The 26,954-nt window shown below is 36.4% G+C and overlaps 1 protein-coding gene across 5 annotated transcripts in view, besides 1 other annotated feature; it reads right to left on the bottom strand.

The window, feature by feature from the left end:
* Window positions 1–26,954, bottom strand: part of SPRED1 (sprouty related EVH1 domain containing 1) — a 104,414-nt gene that overhangs the window by 73,141 nt on the left and 4,319 nt on the right. The window contains exons 2-3 of one of the 5 annotated variants that reach the window (XM_047432199.1): window positions 15,872–15,935; window positions 577–612 (exon numbers count right to left, since the gene is read on the bottom strand). The exons of 2 other annotated variants lie outside the window; for them this stretch is intronic. Coding sequence is in view for 1 of the 3 variants with exons in the window: in XM_005254202.4 (XP_005254259.1) it covers window positions 577–612 (36 nt within the window). In the remaining 2 variants the exon portion in view is untranslated. The remainder of the gene's footprint in view (window positions 1–576; window positions 613–15,871; window positions 15,936–26,954) is intronic. 2 more of the 5 variants (XM_047432200.1, XM_005254202.4) reach the window with 2 other exon arrangements.
* Window positions 744–944: a silencer, noted in NCBI's record as "peak2297 fragment used in MPRA reporter construct". NCBI's record gives its function as "represses an SCP1 promoter by STARR-seq MPRAs in K562 erythroleukemia cells {active_cell/tissue: K562}" and the evidence as "EXISTENCE:reporter gene assay evidence [ECO:0000049][PMID:32103011]".

Here is a 26,954-nt window from a genome sequence, read left to right as displayed (position 1 = left end):
TAAAATGTATCAAATATGCCTTAAAAGATAATCTGGAAAAATTTACAACATAATGTCATAATGGCTATCTCTTAGTAGCAGAAGTAGAGATTATCTTTATTTTCTTCTTTTATAATCACATGGACAAAGAAAACTATCTAAAATAAAGTGATCTGAGCTCTAATAATAAACATTTAATAGTAAATACCTAATTTTTACCATTAGTTTTTACTATTAGTAAGGCAGTTACACTATAGTAAGGCAGCTCTATCTACCTAATCTATTTTGAATATTTGGTTAAAGACATTATCTTTAATTCTGACATAACCCTAGAAAGGGTTATTATCCCCAAATTACAGATAGGGAAACTAAAGCTTCAAGAGGGTAAGTGATTCGCACAAGATCACATCACTGAGTAAGGATTTAAACCCCTGCTGTTCTAGTTCTGCTGTGACTGGAAAGGAAAACAGCCACTCATATCACACTCTCAGCTTCACTTATATAAAAATAAGAATATTTGAAGTAAATATTCTCCATCAATTATATTTTTCATTTTCTACAATTTTCTATGTCTAAATATAAGCTCATAGCACTTACTGAAAAAAGCAGATTCCATCATCATGCCCCTGACACCTACAAGGAAACAAATCACAAAATCTGTAATATATTTCACAAAATAAACATGCTGACCTTGTCTACATATCCCTTCACATTATTCCCTATACCTCTCAAGACATGGTCTGGCTCTGTGTCCCCACCCAAATCTCATCTTGAATTGTAATCCCCACATGTCAAGGGAGGAACCAGGTGGGAGGTGACTGGATGATGGGGGTGGTTTCCCCCAAGCTGTTCTTGTGATAGTGAGTTCTCACGAGATCTGATGGTTATATATGTGTTTGACAGTTCCCCCTTAACACGCTCTTGTCTCCCTCCTGTCGCCTTGTGAGGAAGGCGCCTACTTCCCCTTCGCCTTCTGTCATGACTGTAAGTTTCCCGTGGCCTCCTAGCCATGCTTTCTGTTAAGCCTGTGGAACCGTGAGTCACTAAATCCCTTTCTTTTATAATTACCCAGTCTCAAGTAGTATTCTTTATAGCAGTGTGAGAACGGACTAACATACCTCATTACACCCCAAAATGTTCGGCAATCCAGTATCTAATGGAAATACACTAGAACTTACAAGAAGCTTTTTAACTATAAGCAATACTAGATTCAAATCAGTGTCACAGTCCTCAAAGTAGCAAGAAAACCGTGGTTTAAAACAACGCATGACAGCGAGGGACTTACAAAGCTACAAACCATGGTCCTTAAAGAAAAAACAGACAATGAAGAAATAAAAACAGCTATCAGCAGAGAAATTTTAATCTATAAACTTTTCATCTGCAAAGTTAAACTGAATAAAAACAGCAAAGATGTACAGGAGACATTTCCCATCGCTATTAGGAAATGGGCATAGATAAGAATTTTCAAGTGTTTCCAAGATCCCCAAACTCAAACCATCCTACCACTGCTTATCCATCGACATCAGTGGCTTTTACATCAGACAAAGGTGGAGTAAATCAAACATACCACCCATGGCTTCTTGAGTAGCATGAGGAATGAAATAAGAATTTTTTTTTTTTTTTGAGACGGGGTCTCGCTCTGTTGCCCAGGCCAGAGTGCAGTGGCACAATCTCTGGTCACTGCAACCTCTGCCTCCCCGGCTCAAGCAATTCTCATGCCTCAGCCTCCCAAGTGGTGGGAATTACAGGTGCCTGCCACCACGCCAGGTTAACTTGTGTGTGTGCATGTGTGTGTGTGTGTGTGTGTGTGTATTTTTAGTAGAGATGGGGTTTCAGGATGTTGGCCAGGCTGGTCTCAAACTCCTGACCTCAAGTGATCCACCGGCCTCAGCCTCCCAAAGTGCTGGGATTACAGGCATGAGCCACCGATTCTGGCCAGAATAAGAAATGTTAACTTAATGAATGTAAACCAACCAACACTCATTCCCAGAAAGATGTATTTATGGAACATGCATGGAGTATTATGGACAGTATATGAACTCAGTGATGCTGGTGTCCACTGGACTATGACAACTTCAGAAAGCTTCAAATTAATCCCTTAAAACAAGTAAAGCTTTTTCACTCCATAGATAAATAACCACAAAAACATACCTTCTTTAGCAATAAAATCGGCTTTACCCTGTAAGAGCTCATACTGAACTAGGTATCGACTTTACATCTAGAAATTTCAGGAACTTCTGTAAGTGAACATGAACTGAGTAAATTCCAAAGGATTAATTGGGGTCAAAAATTTCTTCTTCATCCATAAATCCCAAACTTTACAGCATGTCTCTAAAGCTATGTATTTTATATATTTTTATACAAAAATGTACATTTCTCAAAGGGTGGAAATGTAAGAAACAGAGCAGTGTATGACATGCATAAAAATCAAAAGGCCAGGCACGGTAGCTTATGCCTAATCCTAACACCTTGGGAGGCTGAGGAGGATCACTTGCAGCCAGGAGTTTGAGACCAGCCTGAGAAGCATAGCAAGACCCTGTCTCTACAAAAAAAAAAAAAAAAAAAAAAAATTAGATGGGCATGGTGGCACACACCTATAGTCTTAGCTACTAGAAAGTCTGAGTGGGGAGAATCGCTTGAGCCCAGGAGTTTGAGGTTGCAGTGAGCTATGATCACACCACTGCACTCCATGCTGGGTGACAGACAGAGACTCCCGTCTCAAAAAATCAAAAAAACAGAACTTAGGCAGTTGTAAGGAACCTAAAAGATCTAGACTAATCTGACACACTACACAATACTTACTCCTTTTGCAAAGATGCATGGATGATCAATCTTTTCACTCTCCATTTGAAAATAACTATAGGAAGCTCCCAATTTCACAAGATAGTCCATTCCATCATCAAACAAATCACATCAGTAGGAAGTTCTCTTTTGTATAGAAACAAAACTTACTCCCCCACCTTTTTTTACTTTCATCCACTGATTCTAGTTTTACTTTCAGGGACAAAAGAGTCTAAGTTTACTCCCATTATTATATGAGGTTTTCAATTATTTGAAGATAACTAATATTTCAGTGATCAACTCTTCTCCAAGTTCAACCTGACCAGTTCCTACAACTTGTCCTCATTTAATGTAGTTTCTAAATATATCATCACACTGGTGGGTTATGAATTTATCACAATGGTTACATATGTACTGGAAAAGAATAAATAATAACCTTTGAGATATGGATGTTTAGGTGATGAGCTAGGCTCACCCACTAGCAAAGTGATTCACTGTTTTCTCTTTTAAGGTATTATCTACTTTACAATTACATATTCTGAATGAAGATCTATAGAGTTCACAAGTAGTTATTTTTAAGTTATAAGAGATGTTAAATTTCTACTCATTCATTCTAAATTGTGGTTTGGCAAACAAGGGCTTTTGATTATCAAAGAAAACAGTTTGCTGATCCACATATACGCTTACTATCTCTATTAGTACACTGCCTAACCAAATGTCCTAAGTAGCCCCAAGCTAAAAATCACATTTTTAAAATCTCTTATCTTTAGATAAGATAGATTTAATGGTCTAACTCAATTATAATTATCTCCACAAAAAACAATGGATTTTTAAAAATCTAACGCAAAGATGATATCCATGTCAATTCTGGATAAGGATATAGATAAGGTTATCTTTTCTGTACCTTTCTGTATTTTTCAAATGTGTAAGAGTAAACAAGCAACTCATCTATAAGCTAAATAATCAATCTACTGCCAATACCCTTCTGGCTATCATGAGAATCTGAATAGTGTTTTTGGAGATTTTCATTAACTTGCTGGAGGGATTCATGAAGAGATTCTGACAAAAAACATTATTATACTATTGTGTTCCTTTAAGGAGGCAAATGAGGTATTTCTCTTCCAACTTATATTACCTACACTTTAAGAATCAGTGTTGATTACTGATATCAATGATCCCTAAAAATAAAGAAAAAGATGACTTCCCAAACAAATCATTTCCCTTTAAAGACACTGGGGTTACCAGGGGCAAAATTATAGGAAAAAATTGACCAAGGCAACATTCAGTGGAAACAACACTGAACTTACAGTCATGAAGACCAAGTTTCCACTGAGACTGACACATGCAACTGTAATAGTTCCAGCAAGTTATTTTATCATTCCAAGATGTAGCACCCTCATCTATAAAATTAAGGAAGAAAAGATGCTAATCAAAGCCCTCTCCTAATCCAAACTTCTTTGATTCCATGAAACACTGAAGACTCCTAAAATTATCCTAGATAGTCCCCCATAAGTGTTTGTCATGTATTACCTAGTTCTTATTCTACATTAGGAACTTTTAATGTCTCCTTGCAATGAATTACTACTACTACTACCACTAATATTAACACGCACTCAACACTTCAGTATTTGCTATGTGCAGATATGGTTCAATGCTTTACAAGGATTATATTTAATCCTGATGATTATCCTCATTTTACAGATGAGGAAACTATGGCTTACAGAAGTCCAGAACCACATAACTGGTAAGTAAAAGAGCTGGACCTTGATCTGGGCAGAAGCAACTCAAAAGTACCAATGGAAGTTTACTTCAGAGGTTGTGATTAGAATAGGATAGCACTGTTTGGCACAAAACCACATACACACATCCTCTTTTGATTGAGATGCTAATTTGCAACCTGATAAGATTAAGAAAACAAGAAATAATATTCTGCATCCACTCTTAAGACTAAATTTTAGTAAACAATCTAAATTGCAGAGCTATAGCCTACATAAATCATGGCCTTTGACTCATACTGGTAATTGCTCTACAGAGAAAATTCAACCATATTTAAAGTACAACAATAAGAAAATGTGGTAGAATTCTTCTTGGTCACTGACTAACATTCAAATATGGTACGATCATATCGTGGGTGTACCATAGTTGTAGTATTTGTGGGTACCACATCCACAGATTCAATCAACCTTGGATGCAACCAACCTTGGATCAAAAATGTAGTTAGGAGGCTGGGCATGGTGGCTCACGCCTGTAATCCCAACACTTTGGGAGGCCTAGGAGGGTAGGTCATGAGGTCAGGAGTTCGAGACCAGCCTGACCAACATGGTGAAACCCTGTCTCTAGTAAAAATACAAAAATTAGCCAGGCATGGTGGTGTACGCCTGTAATCCCAGCTACTCAGGAGGCTGAGGCAGGAGAATCACTTGAACCCAGGAGGCAGAGGTTGCAGTGAGCTAAGATTCCGCCACTGCACTCCAGCCTAGGCGACAGAGTGAGACTTCATTTCACAAAAAAAAAAAAAAACAGTGTAGTTAGGTTATAATGGTTGTGTTTGTACTGAACATGTACAGACTTTTTTTTCTTTGTCATTCTTCCTTTAGAAATGCCGTATAACTATTTACACAGCATTTGCATTGTATTAGGTATCATAAAAAACCCAGAGATGATTTAAAGTATATGGGAGGATGTGTGTAGATTATACGCAAATACTATATCATTTTATATAATGGACTTGAGCATCCATAGATTCTGGTATTTGGTCAGGGGTCATCCTAAAACCAATCTCCCACAAATAACAGTAAGTGTTAATCTGTAATGTACACAAAAAGTATACAAAAAGGAGTGATAATTTCTTTCTTTTTTGGAGGAGGAGACAGGGTCTCTCTGTGTCATCCACGCTGGAGTGCAGTGGCACAACCATGGCTCACTGCAACCTCCAGCTCCCAGGATCAAGCAATCCTCCCACCTATGCTTTCAGAGTAGCTGAGACTATAGGCTCGCACCACCACACCAGGCTAATTTTTTAAATCTTTGGTAGAGACAGGGTTTCATCTTATTTCCCAGGCTGGTCTCAAACTCCTGGGCTCAAGCAATCTGCCCACCTGGACCTCCCAAAGTGCTGGGATTACAGGTATAGGCCACCACTCCCAGCCAGGAGTAATAATTTCTAAGAGCTCTCTAGTAACAAACATGAATTTCTGTCTTGAGAGTTTTCTGTTTTCATTACTGCTAGTGAATAAACACACACACAAATAGTTCTACCTTCTCTTATTTCTTACCTGTTTTCATTTATAAAATTTGATGTTAAATATCTAAGATATAATTAATCCTATATTACTTGCCATTAATACATCCTTACATTAATTTAAACAAATTAACAAGCAAAAAACAAATATCCCCATTAAAAAGTAGGCAAAGGGTATGAAGACACTTAAAAAAAAAAAGACATACATGAACAAGCATAAACACATGAAAAAATGCTCAACATCACTAATCATTAGAAGAATCCAAATCAAAACCAAAAGATACCATTTCACACCAGCAGAATAGCTATTCTTAAAAAGTCAAAAAATAACAGATGCTGGCAAGGATATGAAGAAAAGGGAATGCTTATACACTGCTCATGGGAATGTAAATTAGTTTAGCTTCTGCAGAAAGCAGTTTGGCGATTTCTGAAAGAAGTTAGAATTATTATTCAAGCCAGCAACTTCATTACTGGGTAAGTACCCAACGGAATATAAATCATTCTACCATAAAGACACATGCACATGTATGTTCATCACAGCATTATTCACAATAGAAAAGACATGGAATCAGCCTAAATGCCCATCAATGGCAGACTGGATAAAGAAAACATGGTACATGTACACCATGGAATACTACACAGCCATAAAAAGGAATGAGATCATGTCCTCTGCAGCAACATGGATGGACCTGGAAGCCATGGGTATCCTAAGTTAACTAATGAATGAATAGAAAACCAAATATCTCATGTTCTCACTTATAAGTGGGAGCTAAACATTGAGTACACATGGACACAAAGAAGGGAACAGACACCAGGGCCTACTTGAGGGTGGGAGGAGGGAACAGATCAAAAAAACCACCTATTGAGTATTATGCTTATTACCTCAGTGACGAAATAATCTGTACATCAAACCCCGTGTCATAAAATTTACCTATATAACAAACCTGCACGTGTAACCTTGAACCTAAAAGTTTTAAAAAGTCCTTATACTGACACAAGAAATTTTAATAAATTTACTTCTCTTAATGTAGAAGCAAAGATAAGCTTTATGAATATTACTATCATTTTTTATAAAGATAGACCCCAAACTATCATGATGACCCAGAAAAGAAATGCACACCAAGCATTAGCCTGCTATTATAAACTAGCACAAAAATATATCCACCTCTTTTTACTTGTGGATACTGATCACTAACCTAACACAACTTTATAGACCAGAAGAATGTTCCATAAGTTAGTAAAATGATACTGCCATAAGACTTCTTTAGGATAAACTACAGTGTTTCATAAATCAGGCAAAAACTTTAAAAGGACAGGCTCAAAATGTGTAAGTCAAAAAATGTTTAAACAGAATAGACTTACTCACCAAATCCTGAACATGAGAATTAAAATGATACTTGAAAGCCTGAACAAAATACATCCACAATAGGAAGAGTATTTCACATTGTAGGTAGCATAAAAATTAGATTTAAATCCACCTTATAATATTTATTACGCCTTGGGTGAGTCAATTTAAGTCTGTTTGCTCACCTGAAACATGGGAAAAATAAGACCAACTCATGAAGCTACTGTGAGAATTAAACGCAACAACATAAAGTGCTTAACTGTGGTTAGCAAATATGTATCATTTAATGAGTGTATAATGTTACAATTATGAAACAATATCATTTAACGGGTGTATAGTATTACTCTAATTATGAAATGATAGTGCACTAAAAGGAGGTACATGTAAACAAATGCTATATATATAACACTTCCGCATATTTATATAATATAAAAATCCTAAGTCATTTGAATTAATGGATAATGACATAATTTACAATTGTTATACACCTACCTCTACCCCTTAAATATGTATCTAGGGAAAAAGAGCCACAGTAAAAAAAAAAAAAAAAAACATTCACAGCACAATGTCTCCTAGTACATATGCAAATACTCACATACCAGCAATGTTTGGCACACTGCCTTACACATAGCAAGCATATGATAAATATTTCTGGCACTGCAATGACTATTTTTTGCATTGAAATAACTGTATCTATTATTAATAAATAATTTTCTTGAATCTATTTTAATTAGATTGTGTCCTGTCCTTGTCCGGCAAGACAAATGACAAAATTAATGGAAAAGCAAATGTTAAGAAAGGAATACTACAGTACCACAGGAGAGTAAGTGGAAAGAACCCAGACTCCACAATAAGAAGGTCCAAGTTTACATCCCAACTGGATCACCTTACCTGGGTATTGTGAATAAGACTTTTAACTTCAGCTTAGTTTTCTCCAACTGTAAAGAGGGTTAATAACACCACCAGCGGCGGGGTGCACTGGCTCACGCCTGTAATCCCAGCACTTTGGGAGGCCGGGGTGGGTGGATCACGAGGTCAGGAGTTCAAGACCAGCCTGACGAACATGGTGAAACCCCGTCGCTACTGAAAATACAAAAATTAGCTGGGCATGATGGTGCGCACCTGTAGTCCCAGCTACTTGGGAGGCTGAGGTACGGGAATTGATTGAACCTGGGAGGCAAAGGTTGCAGCAAGCCAAGATCACGCCATTGCACTCCAGCCTGGGAGACAGAGCAAGATTCTGTCTCAAAATAATAGTAATAATAATACCACCAGCCTCATCCCAAAGCCAATTAGCACATCTAGCACCCATAGAGTAGTTTCTAAATACAATTCTCCAATAAAAGGAACTAGAGCTTCTTTAAGTAATGGGATGGTTCCAAAGCTGGGCAAGAAAAGCATGAGATGAGCCTGGAGCATCTTATGATACCAGAAAGGACGTGCTGAAAAAATGAAGGGATATGTCAAAAGGACATAGAAACAGACTTCACGGGGTTCCCAATGGCCAAGTCTGGGACAACAGAGCATAAAAATGATGACAGTGATGGATTATAATTGATACTAATACTTAAATAAATGTGAGAAAATAAGGCTCTTCTATAAAATTCCAATTAATAAAAGCAGAAGGAATGACGGAAGTAGAAAAAAAATCATTTGGCAAACATCACAGTAATTGTTGCAGGCAAGAATCATCAGCAGATGCTAAAAATAGTAACAAGTGAATGACAGAAAATAGGATATTTATTAGTCTCAAACTATCTTTTCAAAAGATGCTTATTACAAAGTGAACAGTTACAAAACCTGGCAAAACAAACATCTTCTTAACCAAATGATGAAAATTTACCAGTAATGGGATATATCAACACCATCCACCTGTTGAACTGATGCACAAGGATACCATCACTCTATAGTATTGTTGCCAAAAACATGTAAGTTGAATTTAGGAACATTCTACAAAATTCCTGGCCAGTACTCTTCAAAAGTGTCAAGGTTATAAAAGACAGGCTGAACAGCTGTTTCACCTTAAAGGAGACTAAAGAGACATGACAACTTAATGCAACATCATTTATCATATCCTGAACTGGAAAAAGGACATTAGTGGAACAACCGGTGAAATTTCAATAATATCAATAGATACGAATATTGCCAGTTGATAATAATATTGTATAGATCCTAGTTTCCTGATTTGGCTATGTAAAACATTTTAGGAAGCTGCCTGAAGGATATGTGCATTCTTTGTATATTTTTTCTTACTCCTGTAGGTCTAAAATTATTTCAAAGTGAGAATAAATATATATGTAGTTTCATAAATCTCACAACTGCTTTGAGAATCACATGAGATAATGCACATAAAGGTGCTCTGTAGATTCTAAAGTAATACACAAATGTTAGCAGCTTTCATTATCATTTCCGACTCTGGTGCTGCAAGATACCTGACACTTCCTGTTGGCAGTTCCCCCCAGTACACCTTCCAGTCTGTGGGAAGAAACAAAATTGTTAACTGGTCCTACATGTAGAATTTTGGTTCTAAACCAAGGGTATCCAAGGGTGCTTAAACTTCTACTCTAAAGGGAAAAACTTTTTCTAAAAATGTAGTCTGACCATTTAAAAATGAATCCTGTCTCCCTGTCACTGTGATCTTAAAGTAGACTCTAAGCATAAGAATTTTCTGAATAAACACAGCAATATGAGGAGGACTCGCTCATAATTACCAATAATGGCCACATATCTTTGAATAACTCTTTAATATGTGATAGTGAAAAAGTTCTCAAGATTATCTAGGTTGTCAAAATAGAAGTAGTGACGGGATTATTTAAACATGCTTGTCTGTCATTTCTTGTCTTAGCAAGTCTTTAGTATAAATAACTGAAGGGAAAGGGAGAAATAAACATAGTTCAGTAGGTTCATGACAACTTATTTAAGGAGTCGGGAACCACCACCGTGTTCTTCACCTAAAATCCTCCCTTCGTCTTCCAATCAGAAATCCGGGCAGTTTGGGCCATTTACATGATTTAGAATGACACATCTCATACATCTCATGCCAGACCCAACTGGGCTAATTATCATTTAGCTACAAATTATCATTTAAATTTAAATTATCATTTAGCTACAAATTATCCATTTTCAAGCTCTTGCTAGTGAAGGGAATAATTTTTTTAAAAACACTAAAGTCCTACACATCCTATAGGAAAAAAACTATTATTCATATATATATATATATATATATATATATATATATATATTAATAATACATAAAAATAAAAATTAAGGCTAAGGTTAAAAAAACTTAGTTCATGATATTCATTTGATCCTGAGCTCTATGTTGTTAACAGACAATAAATCTTTAACCCTTCTTACACAATCTATCATGCCATACAAACTTCAAAGTGAATCAAAAACAGTTAAGATTGTAGCTACTTAGATCACAAGACTACTACTGAACTATAAAGTTAAGTATAACACATAAAGATGTTTCTTCAAAATGAGGTAATTTACACATGGTGAAAGGTAGGGGTCCAGTTTCATTCTTCTGCATATGGCTAGCCAGCTATCCCAGCCATATACAAAAATTAACTCAAGATGGATTAAAGATTTAAATGTAACACCACAAACTATAAGAATCGTAGAAGAAAACCTAGAAATCACCATTCAGGACATGGGCCTTGGAGAAGAATTTACGACTAAGTCCTCCAAAGCAATTGTAACAAAAAAATTGACAAGTGGGACCTAATTAAACTAACAGCTTCTGCACAGCAAAGGAAACTATCAACAGAGTAAACCTACAGAACGGGAGAAAATATTCATAAACTATGCATCCAACAAAGACATAATATCCAGAATCTATAAGCAATTTAAATAACTGAACAAGCAAAAAACAAATAACCTCATTTTAAAAAGGGCAAAAGACATAAACAGACACTGCTCAAAAGAAGACATACAAGTTGCCAACAAACCTAAGGAAAAATGCTCCATATCACTAATAATCAGAGAAATACAAAACAAAATCACAATGAGATATGCCATCTCACACTAGTCAGAATGGCTATTATTATAAAGTTAAAAAATAACAGACTCTGGCAAGGTTGCAGAGAAAAAGGAACACTTACACAATGCTGGGAATGTAAATTAGTTCAGCCACTGTGGAGAGCAGTTTGGAGATTTCTCAAATAACTTAAAACCAAACTACCATTCGAGGTCGGGCACAGTGGCTCACACCTGTAATCCCAGCACTTTGGAAGGCTGAAGCAGGCAGATCACCTGAGGTCAGGAGTTCGAGACCAGCCTAGCCAACATGGTGAAACCCCTGTCTCTAGTGAAAATACAAAAATTAGCTGGGCGTGGTGGTTGGTGCCTGTAATCCCAACTACTTGGGAGGCTGAGGCAGGAAAATGGCTTGAACCTGGGAGGCAGAAGTTGCAGTGAGCCAAGATTGCACCACTGCACTCCAGCCTCAGCAACAGAGCAAGACTTCATCTCAAAAAAAAAACCTAGCATTCGACCCCTACAATCTCATTATTGGGTATATATCCTAAAGAAAATAAATTGTTCTACCAAAAAGACACGTGCACTCATGATCACTGAAGCAAAGACATGGAATCAACCCAGATGCCCATTAACAGTGGGTTAAAGAAATGTGGTACATATATACCATGGAATACTATGCAGCCACAAAGAAGAACAAAATCATGTCCTTTGCAGCAACACGTATGCAGCTGGAGGCCATTATCCTAAGTGAATTCAGGCAGGAACAGAAAACCAAATACCACTGTTCTTACAAGGGGGAGCCAAATATTGGGTACTCCTGGACATAAAGATGGGAACAATAGACACTGGGGACTACTATATGGCAGGAAGGAGGGAGGGAAGTAAGGGTTGAAAAACTATTGGGTACTATGCTTACTACCTGGGTGACAGGTTCAGTCATACCCCAAACCTCTGCATCATGAAATATGCCTTTGTAACAAACCTGCACATGTACTCCCCAAATCTAAAATAAGAATGGAAATTTTTTTAATGAAATAATTTTTATTTTCAGCAGTTTTTCTCACTCTCCTGGGAAAAATGTATTTCCTCTAGCAGGGAATCAATATCTCTAAGTCCTTTTTTACCAAAGAACCAATCAATCATTTACTTCTAACATTAGGTTGAGAACTGCACGATGGAAAGATCTAGATTTTATTCATCTCTAAAGCCTACTGTCCTAACACCTGGAACAGAGTAAGCTTCAAAAATGTTAGTTTCTATCCTTTCTCTAACATATAATAAGTGCTCAATAAATGTTAGCTGTCTCTATTTCATTAAGTATCAACATTAATGACTGTCAAACCTAAGAGCAATGTAAAATCCAGGAGATGGACTAAATGTGACTACTAAGAAATGCTGCAACATCCTGATCTCCATCTGTTTGGCTGTTTCTATTAGCCCAGCATTCCAATGCACATGTGTGATTGATCCTTTAGGGTCTGCTGCACTGAAACATTTAATTACCACTAAAATATGCAGCATACACATGACTTTGAATTAAAAGACATTTCCTTACTGAAACAGGTCTAAACACTATTTTCATAGAATCTAAACACTTTAACATCTGACATTTAGATAATATCACACTTTGGCATGATACACGGATAATTAGGTATTTATTATTGGGTCTAATGACTTTGTCGCTCAATAATTATTAAGTAAATTCTCATATCACCAGAAGAATCATTTTTATATAATATTTATCTTTAAAAACCCAGTGTCTAAAAGGTAAAATAAAGCAAAACAAACAAATGAACAACAATCTATGGTTCATCTAGCAGATCATAAAGATGATTAGCTTTACAAAGCACTACCTCAAAGGTATCAACAAGAAATGTTTAAAGAAAACATTTCACTCAGTTCAAGAGACATATGTACAAAAGCTGATATATGAAGATTAGTATACTAATTAGTATATATACATACATACATACATTTTTTTAATTTAAAATTCAACAAGTATTAAGAAAGGAATAACTTCTCAATTTAATTTAATGCTGATTTGGTTTGGCTCTGTGTCCCCACTGAAATCTCAGGTCGAGTATGTAATCCCCATGTGTTGAAAGAGGGGCAGACTACCCCCTCGCTGTTCTTGTGATAGAGTTCTCAGATCATCTAGTTGTTTGAAGTGTGTAGCACTTCCCACTTGGCTCTCTCCTGCTCTGCCTTGCTAATACTTGCTTCCCCTTTGCCTGCCACCATGATTGTAAGTTTCCTGAGGCCTCCCTGCCAAGCTTCCTGTATAGCCTACAGAACTGTGAGTTAATTAAACCTCTTTTCTTAATAATTACCCATCTCAGATGGTTCTTTATAGCAGTGAGAACAGACTAATATAAATGCCATGTCTGTGAAACAACTAAAATTATCTTACATACCAGTGGCAAATTCCACATTTTGGAAAAAGCTATGCTACCTCAAGTTACCTCTCCATGAAAAAACAATTAGAAACTTTCTTCAGCAGAGTGAATGGAGAACATGTCATAGTTTTCAAAAAAGGTGTTGGGCTTGAAGGAATAGAAATGTTCCAGATTTGGGCTGGGCATGGTGGCTCATGCCTGTAATCCCAGTACTTTGGGAGGCCGAGGCAGGCAGATCACCTGAGGTCGGGAGTTCATGACAGCGTGGCCAACATGGTTGAAACCCCGTCTCTATTAAAAATACAAAATTAGCCGGGCATGGTGGCACACGTCTTTAATCCCAGCTACTCGGGAGGCTGAGGCAGGAGAATCACTTGAACCTGGGAGGCAGGGGTTGCAGTGGTCTAAGATCGTGCCACTGCACTCCAGCCTGGGAGACAGAGCAAGACTCTGTCTCAAAAAAAAAAAAAAAAAAAAGAAAGAAAGAAATGCTCCAGATTTGTGCCATCCAATACAGCAGTCAACACTGGCCACTTGTGGCTATATAAATTAAATAAAATTTAAAATTTAACTCCTCAGTCACTCAAACCACTTCAAGTACAGCCAAATAACTATATAGTAGCTACCATAGTGGATACCACAAACAGAATGTTTCCATCATCACAGAATGTTCTATTGTACTCACTGCTTTAGATTCTCAAAGAATTCTAATAAAGCCCAACTGGCAGCAAATGGAAGTAAAAATTTTAGCAGATAACAAAGGTAGTATCTTTCAGTAAAGTAACAAACATTTGGAAAAAACAGTGAGAGACAATGAATTAAATGCTAGTAGTAAGGGCCAGGCATGGTGGCTCACACCTGTGATCTCAGCACTCTGGGAGGCTGAAGTGGGAGGACCACTTGAGCTCAGGAGTTGAGACCAGCCCGGCTGGCCAACAAAATCAAGACCCTGTCTCTACAAAAAAATTTAAAAATTACTGGGCATGGCGGCAGGCACCTGTAGTCCAAGCTACTCAGGAGGCTGAGACAGATTAATCACTTGAGCCTGACAGTTCGAGGTTAGCGTGCTGTGATTGTGCCACTGCACTCCAGCCTGTGTAACAAAGTGAGAGACACTGTCTCTTAAAAAAAAGTTAGTACTGGCTGGGTGCGGTGGCTCACGCCTGGAATCCCAGCACTTTGGGAGGCTGAGGCGGGCAGATCACAAGGTTAGGAGATCCAGACCACCCTGGCTAACACACGGTGAAACCCCGTCTCTACTAAAAATACCAAAAAAATTAGCCAGACATGGTGGTGGGCACCTTAGTCCCAGCTACTCAGGAGGCTGAGGCAGGGGAATAGCGTGAACCCGGGAAGCGGGGCTTGCAGTAGCCGAGATCGCGCCACTGCACTCCAGCCTAGGCGACGGAGCGGGACTCTGTCTCAAAAAAAAAAAAAAAAAAGAAAAAAGTTAGTACTATAAATATGATTTCTGTTTCTACAACTCCTTTATAATCTGATGATTTCAAAGACTGAAAATGTACTGAGGTAGATAGGAATCCCTCTCCAACTAAGATGATATGGTTACTATTAAGGAATGAACAGTAAAAACTTAGAAAACAAGGTTAAGAGACTGAAGCCATACACTTTTAACACAACCTGTGAAAAATCTTTTAATTACCTTACTTTCATTAACATAAAGCAATAAGGAAAGTATGCTCAAATAACACAGTATTAACAATATCTTTTTAAATGATGGGTCCTGTATGATGATTTATCATTTACTATACCCTGGTCACTTTTAAATGTTTAGGCTATTCCCCCACCCCCTACATGGTCTCAACATCCTTGTGAATTTGTTTGGGAATGACTGGTAGTCACAAGGGTAAGTGTATCACGCACACACATAACTTTTCACAAAACAACTTAGACTTACTGTGACAACACACAGGCTGACTTTGGTATTCTATTCCATTCTACATGGAAACATAATGCTGATGGAGACCCATTGCCATTGAAAAATTCCCTGTTCTAAACTACTGTGAAGTATTTGGGATGTTGTTCTCCTCTAAGGATGTACCTCCGTGTTGGTAGTGAAGATTCACATTTATGTTCAGCTTATTTCATGAAAATAAGAGATAATACTAAAAGGCATAGGATACTCACAAGAGTGGGTTTCAAGGCTGAGCTGTGAGGGACTGCAGAAGAATTCAGAATTGAATTGCTGTAGCTAGAGTAGAGACAGCAAATGTTATTACATCATTGCTTTTTCAGATGTCTTCACTGAAGTGCTCCAAATGATATAGCAATGTATTGCAAATTAATCTTTTATAAGTATATAATTATTTGTAAATCCAGTAAACTAACTCAGAGTTATGTGAACACTGAATTCTAATCACTAGGACAGTTGTTTTCCCAATATGAAATGTTTTTAATTATGTGTATTAGGAAAAGATGGAAAGCTTTTTAAACACTAAATCTTTTCATATGTATATCCTATGGGCATACGTGCGTGTATGTACACTGCTGATGTCAAAGTGTCAAAATGCAGAATGTGTTTGTTACTGTGATGCAGTCAAAAAGTCTGAAAGCCATTGTTTTAGGGCATAGGCTTTGGAATCATAAGACTTTACCAAGTATGTAATCTTTGCCAAGTCATTTAACTTTCCTGCACCTCAGTTTCCTTGGCTTTGTAAATGGGAGTAGTAACATTATAACAAACACTTACATGGTTATTATAAAGACTAAATGCATGAAATGATTTTAGGCCAATGCTGTTACTTACTCATATATGAGCTGTCATTTAATTATGTACTGAGAGCTACATAAAACCACAAGGTACCAAAGAACAAAAAAGGAATCTAAGAAATTTAAGAACAAATTTCATTACAAATAATCCACGATAGAAAAAAATGTGAATTTTCAGAAGTGGCAGTTCATATTAAGAATTTTAAAAAACCACTTGTACTCTTTGACACACTTATCCCACTCCTGTAAATTTATCTTAAGAAATTTTACTAAAGAGAAGAAAATATTTATATGCAAAAAGATGCTCCTTAAAAATGTTATTTGTAATAGCAAAGAGCTGGAAACCTAAAGTGTTCTTTAAAGAGATAACAAGTAGGTAAACTTTTGGTAAAACAATGTGAAATATTACAGTACTAAAATGATTATTTAAAAACTAGATATACGCCTAAGTCTTTATATTAAGTATATCAGGTGATATACTTAATCAGGTAAATAATATGTGTATGTACACAAGCAAAAATGTGTATGGAACTAGATGCAGTTGAAAGCTGTGCTGGGTTTTTAGTTGATTTCTTTTGATGTAATTATTGCTCATTGTTTTCCTAAAGGATTTTAGCTTACTTTCATTTTTTTCCTTATACCACCTGACTAAATCTGAGATAGGGTAAATGCAAAAATTGGATGATCTGCTATTAGCCAGTAATTGTAAGTCAAATTATGCTTCTTATGTGTTATATGCTAGGGCCTAGTACACAAAACACAGTTCGGACTCAAAAGCAGTAGAGTCTATATACAACATCCAATAATTTTTTTTTTTTCTTTTTGGCTCACTTAGAAGCTCAGTTTGCTTGCTCTTCAAGTATCAAGACTAGGAAACATTGCTAAGGAAAACTAAGGTGGCTAGAAGCCAGTCTGTCTCATCCATCTCTCGCCACTCTCCTTCTCTTTAAAAATGATAATACAAAGTTGAAGAATATCCTGTTTGTTTGTTTGTTTGTTTGTTTGTTTGTTTTTTGAGACAGAGTCTCACTCTGTTGCCCAGGCTGGAGCACAGTGCACGATCTTGGCTTACTGCAACCTCAGCTTCCCGGGTTCAGGCATTTCTCATGCCTCAGACTCCCGAGTAGCTGGGACTACAGGCATGCACCACCATGCCTGGATAATTTTTTTGTATTTTTAGTAGAGAAAGGGTTTTGCCATGTTGCCCAGGCTGGTCTCCAACTCCTGAGCACAGGCAACCTGCCCACCTCGGCCTCCTAAAGTGCTAGGATTACAGGCATGAGCCACCGTGCCTGGCCCTAATTTGATACATCATTTAAGGCTGTTATATGTTCTTAACTGTTACTAAGTTAATTAAGTTTGATTTTTGGATCCAATAACCTTCATCAAGAGAAAAAGTATGTGCATTCTTCATCATATTTTTAAGTCCCTGATTTATGCTCATTTAAGATTTTGATTCATACATAACTCATTCCTAAACCAAGTTTCTGATTATGTGTCCAAGGCAATTATTTTTGAATTAACAAATTATACAGTTTTTTCAGAATGCTAGGACTAAACATCAGGCTAAAGCAAAATGTAAACGTATTTTTGCTTTAGCTTTTAATGACCATAAAACTTAACTAAACATGAGCATACAGACCATCAGCTGTCCAAATTACAGTTAACAGACTAAATCAAGAACAATGAATTTCTAGCTGGCAGAAATAGTGCGTCCATCTAATAGGAATCTTAGTTTAATTACAGCTGCAAAAAAATTAAATTCTAAACCTTTAATAACTTAATAATTCCCCTAAGCTGAAAAATCTTCCTCTCCCATTCTCTCCCACGAAAATAGATTTCTGCTTGCCATACAACAATATTTGAAAGTTCCTGGATTGAACTGTAAGATGTTTTTTTCCATTAAAAATGATGGCAAGACACCGAATCTACTTAGACTTCCAAACTGTGCTCAGGTATTAAAATTATTTTAATAAGTTCTAGAAATATACTCCTTTTATAACTAAATAGTTGTATTAAAAATTAAAAAAAAAACTACTTAGAGCTAGTTGTTTGTCTTATTAACCTACTCAAGACTAGTTACATCTACCTCTTCAGTCTGCCCAGAACATGGAAGAAAATTTTCACAATATAAATTTTTTTCTAATGTTGGAATTTTTAGATTTTAAGTTTTTCTGAAAAGTTGCTTTCTAACATTTAAAATGAAACACAATTTTTCTTAGTAGGTTAATAATCCTTTTTAAAAAGCGACCCCACCTTCAGGCTAAATGAAAATGAGCACTGATTATTTTATAAACATAGTACCTTCCTTCTGAAGAACTAAAAGTTCTGTTTAATATTCTTTTATCTCTAATCAAAAAATGTTATTGTAGGGAGAGAGGTTACATTCAGAGGTTGTATCCCTCTGAAGTAGGGACATATTATCCTGGTTTTATAGATAAAAGGCAAGGACAAAGACAGGTTATGTTATTTGCCAATGTCTTAATGCTACAGTCAGCAGTAACCCCAGGATTATGTTAGTTGTGAACACCAGGTTAACTGTAAAATTTAAATTAGTAAATTTTTATTTGAAAGGGCTTCTCTAACCACATTAAGAATGGAGAACCCAAAGGCTACAAAATCCCATAAATGACAATATAATGTATTGGATAAAACCCTGCAATATCAGTCAACATCTTGGTTTGCCTCTCATAAAAACGTAAAGTTCTTAATAAGACCTTAATTTGGATAGTTTATTTACATGTCTCTCTTCCCCTCTACTTGCTAATTCTCAGAATCACTCGTTCCTGATAGGACCATTATTACATGACATCCTATCATTGCAAATACTCTCAAATCTTCCCAGCTAAACCCTTCCCTTTTCTTATCCTCTTCCCCAATACCCTTTTCTTCAACCTCCAATTCCAAAATCCTTACCCCTGTCTCTCTTGATTGCAGAGGGAGGTGGCAACAGTGATACCAGCACTCTAAGTCACTCAACCCACACTCACATTAAATACACTGGCACTGGCTTAGGATTTCTCTCCACCTCAACTCCTGATACCACCCTAGCTATCCAAACATCCATACTGTTCACTCTTTTTTAAAAAAAACATTTTAGCAGATCCTGGCTTCTCCAATAACCTTCATCCCTGTTTCTACTTTAATCTTCCCTCACATGTCATCACTCTGGAGCCATTGTTCTATGATCAAAATCTCTTTGTCTTTCCATTTTTCCCACTTACACTCTACAAGCTCTTTAACTTTACCAAAACTTGCAGTTCTTCAAAACAGCTATCAGTTCTATGTGTCAATCTACCACTTCAAGCTAATTTTTTCTTTAAAATCTAGTCTGTCAATAAAGTATATGACGTACAGTGTGGTATAAATACTGTGCAGTTTGAATCTCAGTTCTACCACTTTACTCTCTTGCGTGGCCATGGCAAGTTACTAAACCTTTCATGAGTCTCAGTTATCTCATCTGTAAACTATGGATACTTAGCTCACATGATCTTTAGAAGGATTAAATCTAACAGTGTGTGACAACCAGTAAAACAATTTGATAGACTGTCCTAGGCCTTGCTCCATCCATTATGCCATTCCTTAAGTCTTTCTTTCTCTTCTTCTCCACTACTGACATGAGCCAACAAATAAACTTCAACTACTAACTTCGCCCTAAATGACTAGCATCTACTCTATGACTTCTCTGCTTCAGCACTTCTTATTTTCTCTTTAATCTACAGCAAGCTCATCCAACCCGCGGCCCATGGGCTGCATGTGGCAGGACGGCTTTGAATGCAGCCCAACCCAAATTTGTACACTTTCTTATAACATTATGAGATTTTTTTTGTGATTCGTTTTTTTTAGCGCATCCGCTACCTTTAGTGTTAGTGTATTTTATAGGTGGCCCAAGACAATTCTTCCAAAGTAGACCAGGGAAGCCAAAAGATTGGACACCCTCAACCTATAGCAAAACCTGACTTCTGTCCCCATTATTACTCCCACAAAGGTCAATGACATCCTAACGGTTATATCCTTGTCTTAGAAATCACCAATCTAATTTTTCTGTGATATCTAACGCTTTCTCAATACTCCTTTTTCCCTTGGCTTCTAAAATACTTTCCTCTCAGAGCTCTCCTACCACTTAAGCCACTTCCGTCTTTTGGCGTCTCTTCTTTCTTCTACTCTCCCTTAAAAACACTGCTGTTTCTCACTTGTCATCTTTCCATTATTACTTAATATTCTCAATGGGAAATTTTCCACTGGCCTCAACTACTATATATGCTGAAGATGTCACTATAACTCTACCCTCTTAACCTTTTTGAGAACTCAACCTATAGTTAAAGCACCTTGTTGGACACTTTCTACCTTGACATCCAGTAAGCACCCAGACTAAAAAAGATCAAAACTGGGTTATTTTCCCATTTAAAAAACCGGGTTCATCTCTATTCCCACCTTCATTTAAAAGCATTACAGCGGCCTAAATTTAAAATGTTCAAGTCATCCCACAACCTTCCTACTCCTTCCTTCACATTCAGTCAAATAATCGTTGGACATTTGAATTTCTTCTCATATGAGTCCCCAATAGTTCCAAATGCTCTATTCCCAGCTCTGTTTTGTTGTCTTACTACATTCTTCCTCATCAACTGAAGTTCATTTTCTTCTCCCTCCAGTCAACTGTCCTAAGAAGCCCTGCTTTACACAAATTGGATTATCATTCCCTCACTTAAAATACTGAGTCGCCACTGTCTACATGATGAAAACTTCACCTGGTGTCTCTCATTAAGTATCCTTACTGACTAAAGATAGTTGTGGTGAGGAGGGAAGGTAGCTCAAAGAACAAATTTTCTTTCAACTCTTCGGTGTTTCATCTATAAAATTAATGGGAACTCTGTTCAAAATTCATCTTATTACTAACCAGTCAGATAAATATTCAACTTTTCAAGAAAAACTGATTTCCAGGGGCTTCTGCCATGCTCATATTGTGTCTCATATTTTAGGCCTAGCCACCATCCCTTGCCCCACAGTTGGTGATATACAGGTAAGCACAAATCTACACTACTCACAATCTGGTCCCTCAACACTTTCCTTAACAACTCCTCCAAACAACTGTATCCAAAAAGGTATTGCCTTTCCTCCAACTTTTTCTTCTTTCTGTGCTTGTCTTCTGCCCCCTCTCTTCCTGGTTGGAATACCCTTCCCCCATTCCATGCTCTCATTCATGGCTGACTCTTAAAATGCCACTTCTTTCCTGAAGCCTTCCTTCACACAGTCACCATCCTGCCACCAACTCCCAGGTAGAATCACTTTCTCCTTGAGCCTTGAAGAACTTTATAACCAGAACACCCATCACATTTCAGAAGTATCTATTTCCCTTGTGGACTGTGATAGCGATTTTAAAGTTTTAATTATCTTTGTATCTCCAAAGCTAAGGCAAAAGTCAAGTGCCTAGTAAGCACTCATTCAAATGCCACTGAACTGAATTTCTTTAGGAAAAAGTTATTAATGGTCCCTGTTCAAATCTATCCTGAAAGTGTAAAAAGTCAATATATATAATCCAGCAACTAAAATTCTGAAATGTTTAATACTGCTTTTACATATTAAGGGGGGAAACCCCAGAACTCCCCAATCTCACAGTATAAAAATAACACAATAAAACAGTAAAAAAAAAAAAAAAAGAGTTTGGTGACTGTGCTGAAGTGAATAAAAACACTCTGAAGTGGTAAAAGTTACAGTAACTTTGAAAAAGTGGCATCAGAAAAGACACAACTCACTAAATTTTATCTAAATTTTTGGCAATCCTGCCACGGGATGCTAATATATAGAAGTCATTAAAAAACACTGTATTTGTGAATGTAATTCCTAACTACATGAACAGCTCAAGCAAAATGTGTTTAATCACATGCAATAGTATCACTAAATACTACCAGGAAAAAGAATTACATTCCACATTCCAAGTTCATAATGGCCTTTATCCAAATTATAACTCCTGTTAGAAAGGCGTGAACCCAGGAGGCGGAGCTTGCAGTGAGCCGAGATGGCGCCACTGCACTCCAGCCTGGGAGACAGAGCAAGACTCCGTCTAAAAAATAAATTAAAAAAACAAAAACAAAAACAAAAACAAATTATAACTCCTGTCATACAGATTAAATTTAGACATAAAATTATTAAACTGATATTAGGCTGAAATTTAATTCCAATTACTCTTGAATTTACTAAAGGTTATTCTTTGCTCTCCAAACACAGAAAGAAATGCCTTGCAAGGTAATTCAGAAATTTCAGACACAAGGCAATTTCCACCAGTCAATCCTACATCTGAGTAACAGAAATGATATATTAATTCAGAAGTACAAAAAAATCAGTTATGATTCTAGAACTCTTGGACTAAAATCCCAAAGTTAAGTAAATCCCACACCCTCGTTTTAAATCAGAAAAATTAAAAATCTGAAATTCTAGAGAGCAGAAAAATAATTTGTCTCTATATTTATGAACATTTACTTTATTATGGGCAGAGATTAAATGACATTTCTGGCATTTATTAAGATCGTATCATTTCTCTCCATTAATCTTCAAATGTGATAAAATGCACTGCTTTTCTCATGTTGATCCATTCTTACATCCTCAAGATAAACCCCATTTGACTGTGAGGCTTTGTTTTGTTCTAGTTCGCTGAGTGAGGTTTGATTTGCTAGTTCTTAAAAATTTGCAGCCACTATTTGTAATATTTCGTCTCCTCTATTCTCTTCTTTTGGAACTGTTAGCTGTATGTTGGAGTTACTCATCTTATCCTCATGTTTCTTACTCTTCCTATTTTATATCTCTATCTTTGGGTTCAGGCTTCTGGGCTTCTGTCCATTGCAGAAGATTTTAGCCTTTTGTGTCATGGATGTTTTTGGCAGCCTGGTAAAGCTTATGACCCCTTTCTCAGAACAATATTAGGGGCCTAAAACAACATACACAGTATTACAAAAGAAATTAATTATATTGACATAGTTATTGAAATATTTTTCATTTTGATATGGTAATAATGCGGTTCTTTATTAACACTTTAAAATATATGCTCTAGCAATAGCTTTAATAACTATAATAATTTCAAATTAGTGATGACTATAAATGGTATTTCAAGATAGCTGTAACAGCTAACAGCAATTGTGCTATAAGAAAAAAAAAATCCGTAGTTTCTATTGGTGTTATGGGTTGAACTGTGTCTCCCCCAAAATACATGTAGAAGTCCTAGCCCCATGACCTTATTAGTTAAGATGAGGTCATACTGCAGTAGGGTAGGCTCCTAATCCAATGACTGGTATCACTCAAATGAAGATAGAAACACACAGGGAGAACACCGCCATGTGATGATGAAGACATGGAATTATGCAGCTCCAAGCTCAGGAATGTGAAAGGTTCCCAACAACCACCAGAAGCAAGGAAGACAAAAGAAAGGATTCCCCTACTGGTTTTAGAGGGAACATGGCCCTGCCAACTTTTTGATTTTGGACCTTTAGTAATTGTGAGACAATAAACTTGTTGTTGCTTTTTAAGCCACCCAATTTGTAGTACGTTGTTAAAGCAGCAATAAAAACTAACACATTTGCTGTCACAAGTACCTCTAATACTGTCATAGCTTGTTAACACTTCCTTTAATTATGAATGTTCAGGTTGAGATTAGTAAGAACGTCACATTTTCCTTCAAGCCCGCAAACACTCTGAATTTTAAGAATGCTTTGTCTACAGCAACATAATACCTTAGCGTGAAATCCATTATTAATGAACTGTTTTTCATTCTGAGTATCGCAAAAACACAATCTCACAGATATGTAATAATTTTGGTTCTGGATTCTGAGATGCAGCTATGACATAATACTTATCATAAATCTAAACATTAAAGAATAACAAAATTCATTACCTGAGTTAACTTCTTAAACTAATATACAGTTATCCCCTAGTGTTACATTACTGATTTGTATAAGTGACCTAGTAAAAAACTTACTTCTGTAAGTAAAGCATAAAGACTGGTATCTTGTTAGCATATTCCTTGTAGAACTAATCAAGTTGGTGTTTAAGCCCAATAGCCTTTGTTTACTTATTCATCCACAGATGGAGGCCATACTTTTTTTCTCTTTTTTAAAATGAGGGCTGTGCATGGTGGCTCATGCCAGTAATCCCAGCCCTTTGGGAGGCCAAGGCAAGAGGATCACTTGAGCCAAGGAATTTGAGACCAGCCTGGGCAGGACCCGATCACCACAAAAAATTTTAAAATTAGCCAGGTGTGGTGGCACACCTGTCGTCCTAGCTACTTAAGAGGCACAGGTGGGAGATCACTTGAACCCAGGAGTTCAAGGCTGCAGTGAGCTATGATCATACCACTGTACTGCCCTCCAGCCTGGACAACACTGCAAGACCCTGCCTCTTTAAAATAAATAAATACATAAAAAACAAAATTGAGTAGTACAAAATTTTGTGTCATCAAAGATACATGGCTATTAAGCCCAAAGTAAGTCTTAAAAGACTATTAATATACCAATTGTTTCCAAATTTTGTATCTTAATTGTTCAAAATGCATGCTTTTACCTAATCTTCCTACCACTTCTACTCTTAAGTCTTTTGTTTAAGTATGTCAAAAATAACAATATAATAAAATTAACAAAGTCTAAATCATACACCATCAACAAAGGAAGGGCACATATGATGCTTAGTCCAAATTCTTTAATTTATAAATCAGCAAACTGAGGCCTACAGAGCCCAGGATTAGAGAATAAATTAAAAATAGCTACAAAAGAAATCCATCTCCCAATTTCAAGTCCAGTGTTCTTTAGACTATACCATACTGCACAGAAGATGGTAAGAGTTAAATAAATGATGTACAAATGGCTTTTACATGAGCACTTAAATTCTATTTATAATATAGCATTTAAAAACATTCTAGTTACCGCAAAACAACCTAATAAGTTTTTAAATCAATTTTATTTTACCATAAAGCATTTAAAAAATAAGACTTCATTTTCTACCTTCAAAATTGGCAAAGAAAAATTCAGACAACTGTACAGACATTTCAAAGTTTAAGCACTCTCATATACTAAATACTTCTTTTCTAGAGGGCAATTTAACAGAAAGAATAAAATTAAATATTTTCCTCTCTTTTAACTCCATTCTTAGACTATCTCAAGGGAAAAGTAAGAGATCTGGATGGAGACAGAACTCAGGATGGTATGCAACATTGTTTAAAAATAACTAAAATATCCAACAATAGGAGACTGATTACAACTAATGTATATCATACACTGAACATAATGTAGCCACTAAAAATTATATTCTAGAATATTTAACGACTTAAGAAAATATTCACATTAAGCTACAATTGTACCCACTGTGCAATTCCATTCCACTGAGAAGAAACACATGTATATATATAAACTACATAATGCTTTCATAAAGCATTTATAACAGTGCTTGGCATACAGTAAAAATCTAATAAATGAATATGTTTCATCACCAACATCATAAGAAAGGTTTCCATGTAGACCAAAATTTTAGCAGCTGTTATTTAATGGCAGAATTGCAAATAAATTATTACTCACTTTAGAGATCATTTTGTACATTATCTGAAATAAACTACTACTCTTACATGGGGTGAAGCATTTTTTAAATTGGCATTTTTAATGTCGTTCCTGTTCCTACTGAAAGATGGAGAAGAAAAGCAGGCTTGTCTTTACCAATCATTTCCCCAAACTGGGTAAGACTAGTCAAGTTCAAGTTATACAACACCAGAGAAAAGGCTAAATTGTTACACTTTCCCCTTAGGCAGTTCTCAGTCACCAACAGCTGCAGTATAAAATCACGGAATCTGCTGCTGTTTACCCTTTCCTGATCAATTTCACTTCTTTATCCCTAGTCAGTTCCTCACCCTTGGCACTAATGTGGAACCATGGGGGAAAGGGAGAGCAATTTAAAGACTTAAAACTGATAAACAGCTGGAGATACATATTCCTAAATTTTGAGCTTCCTATGCCAAAAAAGACAGACACACAAATGTCTACCTTCTTGTGGATATAACACGGGTCTTCAGATACACCACATAACTCAGAGGCCAAGCACATCCAAACATCCCAACAGCACTTTAGGACAGTTTTTAAGCCTGATCTAAGTTATTTCTCAAACTTGCAGAAACAAAACATGTCAAAAATGAGGCCAATTTTTGTCTTTTCTTAAAAAAAAAGGTAAGCCTTCTTAAACGGGTAATAATTTACTTTTCCCATACTCTTTTTCGGCCTTTTTTTCTAATACAGCTAATGATCTCAAATGCATAAATTCAGAGAAAACAAAAAAATGAGGTAATGAGGCTCCATTAATTCAACCACATTTGTAGAGCATTTGCCATCAAGCACTGTGCTAGGCATACAAACAAAAGTAGGGAATTACAGAATAGCGGTCATAGAAATAAGTAAATAATCACAATATTATATGATTTTAAAACTAATATACATATGTACGAAGTACAGAGGCAACATAGAGGGACAGAGTGTTG

The sequence above is a fragment of the Homo sapiens genome, chromosome 15 (genome assembly GCF_000001405.40).
Source record: "Homo sapiens chromosome 15, GRCh38.p14 Primary Assembly".
Classification (NCBI taxonomy): domain Eukaryota; kingdom Metazoa; phylum Chordata; class Mammalia; order Primates; family Hominidae; genus Homo; species Homo sapiens.
Note: the sequence above shows the minus strand (reverse complement) of the source record. Positions and strands in the feature narration are given on the sequence as shown.